We start from the raw sequence: 12,222 nt of genomic DNA, 5'->3' as shown, positions 1-12,222 counted from the left end.
CTCTTTCTTAGGAACCGCCCACTTCTACGCTGTGCAGCCTGCGCCCACTGTACACTGCCCACCTTCCGAATCACGCAATACAGCAGCCTCCCTTATCCAGGAGCCTGTGTTCAAAGACCCCCAGGGGATGCCTGAACCCTACCCTATAGACACTAAGTTTTTTCCCACACATAGCTACCTATGATGAAGTTGTTTTATTTATGAATTAGGCACAGTAAAAGATAAACAATAACGACTAATAAAAATAGAACAATTATAACAATATACTGTAATAAAAGTTAGGCAAAGGGTCTCTTTCTCAAAATATCTTGCTGTATTGTACTCACCTACTTTCAGCTCCGGCAACTGAAGCCAAGGAAAGAGAAACCAAGGATAAGGTGGGGAACTATTCTATTAGGATTGAAAAGCTCTTAGGTTTGCAATCCTGGAATAGAGCTTTGGGACCCCCCTGGAGAGGCCAAACACAGAAAGGGCAGGCCTTTCCGAAGCACTTGAAAAGCACTTCCCATCTGTGCAAGATGAGTGGCACGGAGGTTCCAGGCGCGCCCCCTGAGCTGCGGTTGTGGGACGCCACTGGCCCAGGTCCCCCCGCGCCGGAGGGGACGCACCTTTGGTCAAGGTGAGCTTCCAGGTCGTGTAGTCGCGGAAGGCGCGCTGATGCTCGGCCTCGGCGCGCGCCTCCAGGTCCTCCTGCTTGTCCTCCAGCTGCAGCTGCCGCCGCAGGCTGGTGTGCTTAGCCGACACTTTCGAGGAGTAGGTCATCTTCTGGTGCACCCGCATCGTCTTCTGCTGCTGCCGTTCCTGGGGGCGTCGGGCCAAGTCGGGCGGGGCCCAGGCTCCCCACCCGCGTCCAGGCCTCCCCGCGCGGTTCCCCATTCCTAGGGACGCGGGTTTGCGCGCGAGGACGCGGGGACCTGAACACTGCTGTCCCGGGCTGAGAGCCAAGCAGGCAGGGCAGCTGTTGGGGAGGCCATTTGCCCCCGAGAAGGGCGCCAGTCAGGGTCCCTAGGTCAAACACAGGCTGCCCGGTCAGATGAGCACTCCAGACCCACAGAGGGGGCACGCTTACCCGAAAAGATGATGTCTCATTTTCTCCGAAATCCACATTTAAGTGAGAGCCGTATATTTTGATGACCAACCCAGGGGCAGGGAACCTAGAGGCTCTGGGGTTCCCGAAGACTACGACTGTGTAGTGGGTGTAGCCTAGCTGGAAGGTCACCGTTGGTGGCCATCTCCACCTGCTCTCCACCCCACTCCAGCTCCTGTGCGGCCTGGGGGTGGCTTCGAGCCAGCCCTCCCTTGGGAGAAAACTTTCGGAGGAGCAGGAAGGCAGGACTCACCTCCCCACACCCCGACCCCGCCCCGTGTCCCTCTTGCTGTCCTGTTCTCACAGTGGGGACATCCCCTGCCAGCTCCACACCCCCTCCCACTTTTCTGCACCGGCCCCGGGAGTCTCTTCACGTAGACTTTCTGGGGTCACTTCCGTTTCCTGCTGGGACCTACCAGGTACACAAACGGCATCTAAGAACCCAGGCAAATGGGTCCAGCCTGAGGCCCCTGGAATGCACGTCCCCATCACTGCAGTCAGGAAAATGTCACCTACTGTATCCTCAGGGTACAAGGTGGCCTTTAGAAGACATTGGGCAGCTGACTGAGGGCAGGGCCAGACTGAGGGGGACCCTGTCGGGAGGGGGAGGTTGTGAGTGGTGGATGCTGGGTGGGGGAGGGTATAAGTGGGAGAGCCTGCCGGGTAGGGGAGGTTGTGAGTGGGAGACCCTGCTGGGTGGGGGAGGGTTTGAGTGGGGGACCCTGTTGGGTGGGGGAGGGTATGGTTTGGTGATCCTGTTGGGTGGGTGAGGTTGGGGTTCGGTGACCCTGTTGGGTGGGTGAAGATGGCGTTTGGTGACCCTGTTGGGTGTGGTGGAGAGAGTGTGTTGGGTGAGACTCTTAGTGGAAGGTGGGGGAGGCCTCGAGCTAGGCTGGGCTTGAGTGTAGAGGAAAACCGAACGCCTCATTGGAGAAGATACAGTAGGGTGGCCAAGGCGTGGGTCAGAGAGTCTCTGGGTCTCAGCCAGTCTAGGAATCACAGCCCACAGGCCCAGCCCTGGTCTCTGATGTGGAGGCCTGGGCAGGGCTGAAGCCTGTGCATCTCCACCCATGCCCTACAGATGCCAGTGTAGCTGTTGCTGCCTTGGGAACCACAGCTGTGAGGAATCTCAGAGACGCTGAGCCCTGAGTCAGGGCGAGGTGATGGAGTCTGTGGGGCAGCCCAGGTGCGACCCTGGGAAGGCTGCCATGCCTGGCACGTGGGGCAGGGCTGGGTGCCCAAGGCAGCAAGAGTGGGCTGTCCCCACTCAGGGCTCACAGCTCTCAGGGCTGGGAAAGCAAGAGGACAGGCTGGGGTGAAGATGGGGCAAGAGTGGGGTCGGTGCTGGCCCAGGGATCCTAGGCACCCGGAGGAGCACGTGTGTGCGTGCCGTGGGCGGCTGTGTGTGGGTCTGACCTGCAGGGGTCCAGCCATAGGGACGGCACAAGGCCTGAGCAGCAGGGGGTGCCTGTGGGATGGGAGAGGGCCTGTGAGGGCTGAGCTGGGCCTTGGAGGACCCGGAGAGTGTCAGGAGAGGATGGCATTTCACGCAGGCAGCAGTGGAAGTGGCGGCGAGGTGGCTGAGGCTGTTGCCACAGCAGCCCAAGAAGTCTATCTGACCAAGACCCAAGAAGAGTGGTGACAGACGGGAAGATGGGTGGGATGCTGTGAGTCCTGAGAGCCAGGTAAGGTTTCCAGCTGATTTTATAGTAAGTGGTGAGCTATTGACTATTCTGGAATGAGAAGGACCTGAGGAAAGTGCTCCTCTGAGAAGGGCAATGTGGCCACTCCAGGAAGCAGTGGGAGCAGGGAAGCTCCCGGAGGTGCTGGCGTCTGTCCTGGATACTCACGGAGAGAGCCTTATTCCGCTCCTGATCTCTGAGCAAGAAGAAATCCACATCCCCAGATAAGTGGAAAGGGTTCGCTGAAGGGTCAGGACCATGTTCTGGAAAGGGAGACACCTCTCTGGAAAGGGGAGCCAGCTCTTCCAGGCGGTGGTCTCTGTCTCTGGGGCCCCACTGCCTTCCCAGCCCAGCATGGAAAAGCATGAGTGAGTGGGAAGGTTCCCCCTGGATCCAGCTGTGCCTAAAGTCCAACCCTGGACCTTCCACCTCCAGCAAGGCACCTCTGTAGTTTAACCTGGTTCAAGTTGGGCTTCTGTCCCTGGCCCCTGAAAGAGAGCTCGTGAGCACAGCCTTGTCTCACACGTCTGCCCTCAGCCAGCCCTCACTGCAGGCCTCTGGAGTCTCCCTTATGGAGAAGGGAGGCCGAGCCTGCTGTTTGTTAGTGATGGGCCTGGTGACCAGGGTCTGCTGACACTGAACTCATGGCCCTTGCTGTGGGCCTCCAGGTGAACTTGCATCTGTCTCTTCAGGCCTCTCCAGTCCTCCCAGGGAAGGCCAAGAACAAAGTGCTTCAGGCCTGGGGAGGGCCCAGAGGCCCAGAGAGGGGCTTGTGAAGCTTTGCTTTGCAGGGTGGACTCTTGTCCCACTCCTAATTCTACACACTGACTGCAATTCAGAGACGGAGCTGATGCCAGCAGCCTCCCTGTGAGCCTCAAGCAGCCAAGAAGTCAGGTGGAGAGGGTAAACTAAGCACATGGGCTGCCTTCCCCACCAGCCCAACCCCAACCCCCCAGAAATGTTAGAAAATAAATTTAAAACTCTAGGACAGCTCTGGAAGACAGGGAGGGTGACTCTGGTGTCACAGAAGTTCTGGGAGAGGGCAGGCAGGTGGGATGGGGTAAGGAGGTGCAGCCTGGCACAGCTGCGGGGACAAGGGCATGGAGGGCAGTGTGAGGCTCCAAGGCTCTGGGTGGCAGACACTGGGACACAAGCAGCTAGTGGAGGAACTGCCAGGCACCCGCTTCACCTCCCCAATCTGCACTCGCTCTCCCTTCTGCTTCTGTCTAGCAACTCAACCAGGGCAGAGGTGTTTGCCCTCAATTAGGAATCATGGGACCTGGTGCTTGATCAGAGGGGCAGAGAAGTAAAATTCTTTATGCTCCCAAACTGGTGATGAACACGCATGGGCGGCCCATCCCATGTCCCCATCACAAAAGCAAATGGATAGCTAGCAAGCATCCAGCACTTGCCATGGGCCAGACTGGGGACTTTCTGTGATTTAATGTTCCTGACCACCCAAGGAGGTGGGAATCATGGTTACTCCCATTTTACCTGTGAGGAACTGAGGCTCAGAGCAGTCAGATACTCTGCCAAGGTCCCATAGCTGTAAGTAGCTATGGGGAGACTGGCTTAAGAAGTCAGACACTGCACCTGCAGTCCGGTGACTTGGGAGTGGTCAGAATTCATGTGAAGATGATTGATGTGTTTAGGTGAAGATGAGCCCACCCCAAAAATGGCAGTCATTTGAGGCTAATCATTCCAAAAATGCAGAGTTGGTTGAATATTTTTAAGCCGATCAATGTAATACCTTCCATTAACAGAATAAAGAAGGAAATGATATAATCATTTCAAGAGATGCAGTAAAATTATTTGATAAAATTCAAAGCTTATTTTTGAATAAAACTCTTAGCAAGTAGGAATAGAAGGGAACCCCCCAATCTGATAAAGGGTATTATGCTTTGGTTGAGTAACAGCCCCCAAAGATGCCCGTGCCCTAATCCCCAAACCTGTGATAGTGTCACCTTCTATGGCGAAAGGGCCTTTGCAGATGTGATTGAGCTAAGGATCCTGAGGTGGGGAAACTGTCCCGGCATGTCCAGGTGGGCCCAGTGTAACCACGGGGGACCTTGTAATTGGGAGGCAGGAGAGTTGGGGCAGAACAAGGAGTGCAGGAAGAGAAGCCAAGGTGGAGTGATGTGATAGAAACACACGGAAATAAATAATCTGCTCTTGAATGACATCTGGGTTAACAAGGAAATCAAAATGGAAATTTGAAAATTCTTTGAATTGAATGATAATAATGAGATAAGTTATCAAAACCTCCAGGACACAGAAAAGCGGTCCCAAGAGGAAAGTTCATAGTGTTAAATGCCTGCATCAGAAAGTCTGAGAGAGCACAAACTGACAACCTCATGTCACACCTCAAGGAACTAGGGAAACAAGAACAAACTAAATCCAAACCCAGCAGAAGAAAAAAAATAGCAAATATCAGAGCAGAACTAAATGAAATTGAAACAAAAGAAATACAAAGGATAAATGAAACAAAAACCTGGTCCTTTGAAAAAATAAAATCTGTGTAGACCACTCACAAGATTAACCAAGAGAAGAAGAGAGAAGATCCAAATAAACTCAATTAGAAATGAAACTGGAGATATTCATCCACCACCACAGAAATACAAAAGATCATTTAAGACTACTACGAACATGTATGTGCACAAACAAAACCCAGAGGAAACTGGTAAATTCCTGGAAACACACAACTCTCCTAGATTAAATCAGGAAGAAATAGAAACCCTGAATAGACCAATAACAAGTAGCGAGATTGAATCCATAATTTAAAAATTGCCAACAAAAAAAAAGCCCAAAAGCAGATGGATTCACAGCTGAATTCTACCAGACATTCAAAGAAGAATTGGTACCAATCCTACTAAAACTATTCCAAAATATTGAGAAAGAAGAGATCCTCATAGAATGAAGCCAGTATCACCCTGATACCAAAACCAGGAAAGGACACGAGCAAAAAAAAAAAAAAAAAAAAAAAAAACCAACAACAACAAAAAAAACTACAGACCAGTTTCCCTGATGAACATAGATGCAAAAATCCTCAACAAAACATTAGCTAACTGAATCCAACAGCACATCAGAAAGATAATTCATCGTGATCAAGTGGGTTCCATCCCAGGGATGCAGGGATGGTTCAGCATACACAAGTCAATACATGTGATACATCACATAAGCAGAATTAAAACAAAAACCATATGATCATATCAAAAGATGCAGAAAAAGCATTCGACAATATTCAGCACCCCTTTATGATAAAAACTCTCAACAAACTGTGCTGCTACCTTCGAAGACAGAGTGAGAGGCTTGAGCCAAGTGATGTGGGCAGCCACCTCTAAAGGCTGGAAAAGGCAGGAAGATGGATTTTTCTCCCAGCCTCCAGGAGGAAGGCAGCCCTGCCAATGCTTTGGTTTAGTCCTATAAGACTTCTGACTTCCAGAACTGTAAGATGAGCTATTTGTGCTGCTCAAAGCCTTTGAGTTTGTGGTGATTTGTCACAGCAGCAATAGGAAATAAATACAGATATCTACAAGAAATCTGCGGATGACATACTGAATGTCCCTCCACCCATGTAGGATCAGACCAGGAGCAAGGCAAGGATGCCTGCTCTTTACATTGCTATTCTGCATTAAAATGAGGGTCCTCACTGGGAGAGTGATTCAAGAAAAAGAAATAAAAAGGCTGGACAGGGTAGCTCATGCCTGGAATGCCAGCACTTTGGGAGGCTGAGTGGGGGGATCACTTGAACCCAGGAGGTCGAGGCTGCAGTGAGCCGAGATGGCACCACTGCACTCCAGCCTGAGTGACAGAGTGAGACCCTGTTTCAAAAGAAAAAAAAAAGAAAGGCAGAAAAGGTATAAGGATCACAAAGGAAGAGAAAATAATGCCATTCAAGGTGACATGATTGTATAGTAGAAAACCCAAAGGAATCTATAAATGAAATGGTTACGATTAGGTCAATTAAGATGTGGTTTGTAGGTCTTATTGTGAAAGTAAAACAAAAAGTTGTAGAAGACACAATCAGAGGATATCATGACCTTGGGGGTCACTAAAGAGTTTTAAAATAAGACACTAAAAGCCATAATGAAGAAACGATTGAGCTGCATGAAACTGAGCTACACTAAACTTAGGAACTTTTTTTTTTGAGACGGAGTCTCGCTCTTTTGCCCAGACTGGAGTGCAGTAGCAAGATCTTGGCTCACTGCAACCTCCGTCTCCTGGGTTCAAGCAATTCTCCTGTCTCAGCCTCCCGAGTAGCTGGGACTACAGGCTCCCAACACCATGCCCAGCTAATTTTTATACTTTTAGTAGAGACGAGGTTTCATCATATTGTTCAGGCTGGTCTCGAACTCCTGACCTCAGGTAATCCACCCGCCTCGGCCTCCCAAAGTGCTGGGATTACAGGGGTGAGCCACTGTGCCCAGCCAGGAACTTTTTATTGGTGCCTTTTAGCACCACTCAGAGAGTGAAAGGCAGTCCCAGGAGTGGGAGAAGATATCCGTCATACTCAGAACTAGCAAATGACTTCTATCCAGTAAAGAGCTCCAAGAAATCGTTAAAATAAACAGGCAATGCAACAAACAAGTGGGCAGAAGATGGAAACAGGTACGTCCCAACACAGAATCATCAAATGGCCCAGAACTATATGAAAAGGCAATTGCTCTCCTGGGTTACCAGGAAATATGAGATACTAACATATACCCAGAGGACAAAGTCATATTAAAAGGATCGATGGTGTACCAAGTTGGAGAGGACACAGAACAACTGGAAGTCATATGCCTGTTGGTGGGACTGTGAATTGGTACAGTCCCTCTGGAAAACTTCATTTATCCACTAAAGTTAAACACACGACCAGCAATTCCACTCTTGGGTGTGTACCCAGGAGACGCAAGTGCTTATGTCCCCAAAGTGACATGTACAAGACTTCATAGCAGTATTATTTGTAAAAACTGGAAACAACCTAAATGTTCACCAGCAATGGAAAGAATAAATGGTTGGCATATGCACAGAAGGGACTCTGGCTAGGTGCAGCAATGTGGATGCTTCTCCCAGACGGGATATGAGCGAAAACTGAAAGGATAGACAGTGTGCGATTCCATTTACAGGAGGCTGGAGAGGAGAGCCAGTGGTTTGGTGGGGATAGCTGAAGAGTGCCTGTCTCTGGGGGACGGATAATTTCTGGGGAGATGGAAATGGTCTAGATCTTCATAGGGTGGAGGAAACACATTGTACACATTTGTCAAAACTCATAAACTGGGCCAGGTGCAGTGGCTCACGCCTGTAATCCCAGCACTTTGGGAGGCCGAGGCTGAAGCACTGATTGAGCCCAGGAGTTCAAGGCCAGCCAAAGCAATATGGTGCAACCCTGTCTCTACAAAAAATACAAAAATGAGCCAGGTGTGTTGGTGCGCACCTGTTGTCCCAGCTACCCGGCAGGCTGAAGCAGGAGGATCGCTTAAACCCAGGAGGTTGAGGCTGCAGTGAGCTGTGATCGAACGACTGCACCTGCACCTCAGCCTGGGTGACAGTGTGAGACCCTGTCTCAAAAAAGGAAAGGGATAGATGGGTGATTGGGTGAATGGCTGCCTTGATAGTTTGTGCGGAGGGTCAGGTGCTCGCCCCCAGGACTTTCTCCCTCCCATGCCTCTGCACCCACAGCAGATGCGGGTGCTGCCTCTGCCCATGAGAAGAGCCTCATGACCAAGGGGAGCCGGGATCTAGTCAAGCACCTGGGGCTAATGTCCAAGGGCAGGAAGGATGGGCACAGAGAAGCAGTCCCAGTGCCAGCATCAGGAAGCAGACACACAAATGCAGAATGGGGACACTGGGGCTTGCTGCAGGAGAGGCGACACCACTGCTCAACAAGTCAAAGGCCAGAGAGTGATGGGATGGGCCAGGGAGGGGGCTGCTAGATTCACAGAGACTGAAGGAGCTCAGGTCTTCTTTGAATTCTGATTAGAAAGAATCTTCTACGGAAAATGTTTCTGGGATTACTGGGCCAGTCTGACCATGGGTTGGGCTGGTTCACTTTGTCGGGTGTGGTGATGGTGCTTGGGTTTGTGTGGAAACACCCCTATTGTTGAGAAGTGCACGCTGAAGTGGATGAAATGACATGTCTGGATTTTACTTTAAAATGTCCTGGCAAAGAAAAAGAGAGAAAGGACAGAGGAAGCAAATGGGCACATTTGAGTCAGTGGCAGAACCTGGTGGTGGGCCTGTGAAACTCGTTGGCTCCAATCTCTACATCTGGACATGTTTAAATTTTCATTTTATAATTTCATAATAATAAAAGAGAGGAAATGTGGTGGGGAGAGGGGTGGGAGCCTGGGCCATGGAGCACAGGCTGGGAGAAATGCTCACATCTGCAGACCTCTGCAGAAGGATCAGACTGGTCTGTTAGCCCAGGGGCAGAGCGGGAGACAGCAGGGAGTCCAGGCAAGGGAGGTCGGAGCCACAGTGCAGGTGGCAGCGATGCCCTGTTCAGGGCTACCAGGGTGAGGCACATGCAGCTAGCTAGCTACCTGCCCTCCTTCCTCCTAACGGTGGCAGCAGTGTGCCCTCCTTATAGATCCTGATGGCCATATGGCAAATTTAGCTGCTGGAATGTGGGAAGACATTGCTGCTTGGAACTTTTGGGAAAAATCCCTTCCCCTAGAAGGCTAAGTTGGCTGAAGGGTAGTTTTGCCCTTCCCTTTGTTACTTTTCCCTGCCTGGAATCAGATGTGCTGAGGCTGGAGCTGCAGCAGCCATTTTGTGAGCATGAAAGCCCTAATTGTGGTTGAAAGCCCTAATTCCTTTCTGGTGGAGCAGAGAGACTTGGGGACCTGGTCACCTGAGTGATTTTATGGAACTGCTGTTAGTGGAGCCTCAAGAAAGTCTGCATTTCGTCCCACATTTCTCATTAACAGAGGGAGCAATAAATCCTACTTTGTTTACATGCCTGTTATTTCAAGTCAACCCAATTCCTAATGGAAAGAGAAACATTTCCTTCTGCCCTTAGCTCTAGAGACCTGGTCTGAGGGGATCTGGGGGCAGAGGGAGAGGAGTTGCCTCCTGCCAACTTGGACTTTAGCCTCCCAGCTTGAAGGTTACCTTCGTTTTTTCTTGCCTGTTTCTTTGGGTTCTCTTCAGTGCTTGAAGAAGAGCTGATGTTCATGGATTCCAGGCTGTTCTCTGAGGAGACACAAAAGTGAGGGCCGCAGCAGTGACTCCCCTGGCCCATGAGAACTGTGAACACAGCCTGAGGCGGGGAATGTCTCAGACACACAAAGGCTCAACCTCAGCTCCCTCCCCTGTGAGACTGAGGGCTCTACATCCCAGAGATCACACTGACTTTGCTGGGAAGTTGTGAGAATTGTGCAAGAAAATAGCCTGAGAAGTCCCTGGCACCTGTGCCTGGTGCACGGATGTTTTGTGCCTCCCCTTTCCCATCCTTCAGTGTGTTCCTTAAGAGTAGCAGTGCAAGGCTGTTTTATAGATGGACATACCGGGACCCAGGGAGGACAAGGACCCCAAGCCTCTGACCCCGGCGTGGCCAGTGCCTTGCCTCCCAGGGGCTTCCTGCTGGACTTGGATGGAGGCCCCTAAGACCCCACCTCCTCAGGGAGCTGCCACCCCTATCCCACCGTGAGGAGTGGCCCTTCTGACCAAGCTGGAAAACTGGGGTTGTGCTGCCTGGAAGCTAGAGCCATTTTCTCCCCAAGGCCAGCAAGTCTCCTTCCCGCCCGGGGTGGGCTCCCCAGCACCCTGTTTCTTCAGGTGACTACTCAGGTGTTACTGCTGGGTCTCCAATGCCTTGCTGTGCTGATACCCACAGGGAAAGAGACATGTGGCCGGACACTTCCTCCACTCCCACCCAGGAATACTTTGCAGCTCGGAGATCCTGGTCGGTGCCTGAGGGGCAGGGGCTGCCAGAACGTGGTCTCCGGTGGGCTGCTCAGGGTGCCAGTCCTCCTGGGGCGGGATGGGGGAGGGACTGTGTGGTCCCGGAGTGAAACACTGAGCGGGAAGACAGGGTTTCTCATGAGGTGGGGCTATGATACCAAGGCCTGGGCCCTGAGCAAATGGTCATGGGGTGAGGGAAGAGTGAGGAAGATGGCGGGAGTCTTGTGGGACAGGCGGGAAGGCCAGGCCTGGGCTGAAACTCAGAGGCCTTCGGGGCCACACAGAATCCATAATGTATAGTCGGGGAGGCAGAGGCGGTCGGGAGAGGTGAGGCTGGGGAGAACTCAGGGGCTCGGTTGCTGAACCATGATTGTCCTCTAACTATCTTAGTAGGCATGTGGTTACATTTCCAGATAGAATTTAATTAACCATATCATATAAATCAGAAGATACCACTGCTATTTAAATAGACCAAAACCCAAACGACACAAACCAAAACCCTATTAGAAATGAAAAAGCAATGGATCTGGATGTGGTCCCAGTTACTAGGGAGGCTGAGGGGGGAGGATCCTTTGAGCCCAGGAGGTCGAGGCTGCTGTGAACCATAATTGCGCCACTGCACTCCAGCATGGGTGACAGGGTGAGACCCTGTCTCTAAAACAAGAAAGAATGAAAGAGCAATGCACATACATAGCACATATTTCAAACAACACAGGTTTGATGTATTGATATGATGAAATAGCCTCACCTGAAGCTCTTGCTACCTATATACATTTTATTTATTTATTTATTTATTTTGAGATGGCATCTTGCTCTGTTGTCCAGACTGGAGCACAGTAGCACAATCTCGGCTCACTGCAACCTCTACCTCCCAGGTTCAAGCGATTCTCCTGCCTCAGCCTCCCAAGTAGCTGGGACTACAGGTGTGCACCACCACCCCCAGCTTATTTTTGTATTTTTTGTAGAGATGGGGTTTCACTATGTTGGCCGGGCTGGTCTTGAACTCCTGACCTCAGGTGATCCACCCACCTTGGCCTCCCAAAGGGCTGGGATTATAGGTGTGAGCCACCATGCCAGGCCAAGATTTTTGCAGCTCTGACTAGAAGTATTTTATGCACACATACACTTATATGCCCTTGGTTTTTCACTAAAAAGCTCACCTGCTTACACACAAAAACAGAAATGAACCTTAAGGACATTACACTTAGTGAAACAAGCCAGCCCCAAAGGACAAATACTGTATGCTGCCACTCACAGGAGGTCCCTAGAGCATTCAGAGACTAAGTAGAACAGTGGTCGCCAGGGCTAGGGGAGGGGGAATGGGGAGGAGGTTCAGTTTGGGGATGAGAAGAGTTCTGAGATGGATGGTGGTGGTCGCACAGCAGTGTGAATGTGGTCAATGCCACCGAACCATACATTTAAATATAGTTAAGATGGTCAATTTTATGTGTATTTCATCAAAATTTTAAGACTTGAAAGAAAGTTCATCTGTGACCGGGCGTGGTGGCTCACGCCTGTAATCCCAGCAGGGAAGCTGAGGTGGGTGGATCACGAGGTCAGGAGATC

General features: G+C 51.0%; 1 protein-coding gene across 9 annotated transcripts in view, besides 1 other annotated feature; it reads right to left on the bottom strand.

The window, feature by feature from the left end:
• CFAP100 (cilia and flagella associated protein 100) overlaps positions 1 to 12,222 on the bottom strand; it is a 41,648-nt gene that overhangs the window by 19,440 nt on the left and 9,986 nt on the right. For all 9 annotated transcript variants that reach the window (XR_007095676.1, XR_001740141.3, NM_182628.3 and 6 more), the window contains 3 exons: positions 9,865 to 9,945; positions 2,938 to 3,032; positions 609 to 801 (listed from right to left, as the gene is read on the bottom strand). Coding sequence is in view for 7 of the 9 variants with exons in the window: in NM_182628.3 (NP_872434.2) it covers positions 609 to 801; positions 2,938 to 3,032; positions 9,865 to 9,945 (369 nt within the window). In the remaining 2 variants the exon portion in view is untranslated. The remainder of the gene's footprint in view (positions 1 to 608; positions 802 to 2,937; positions 3,033 to 9,864; positions 9,946 to 12,222) is intronic.
• Positions 8,035 to 8,535: an enhancer, noted in NCBI's record as "H3K4me1 hESC enhancer chr3:126127425-126127925 (GRCh37/hg19 assembly coordinates)". NCBI's record gives its function as "activates a minimal SCP1, AML or CMV promoter by ChIP-STARR-seq in primed H9 embryonic stem cells {active_cell/tissue: H9 hESC(primed)}" and the evidence as "EXISTENCE:reporter gene assay evidence [ECO:0000049][PMID:30033119]".

The sequence above is a fragment of the Homo sapiens genome, chromosome 3, assembly GCF_000001405.40.
Source record: "Homo sapiens chromosome 3, GRCh38.p14 Primary Assembly".
Classification (NCBI taxonomy): Eukaryota; Metazoa; Chordata; class Mammalia; order Primates; family Hominidae; genus Homo; species Homo sapiens.
Note: the sequence above shows the minus strand (reverse complement) of the source record. Positions and strands in the feature narration are given on the sequence as shown.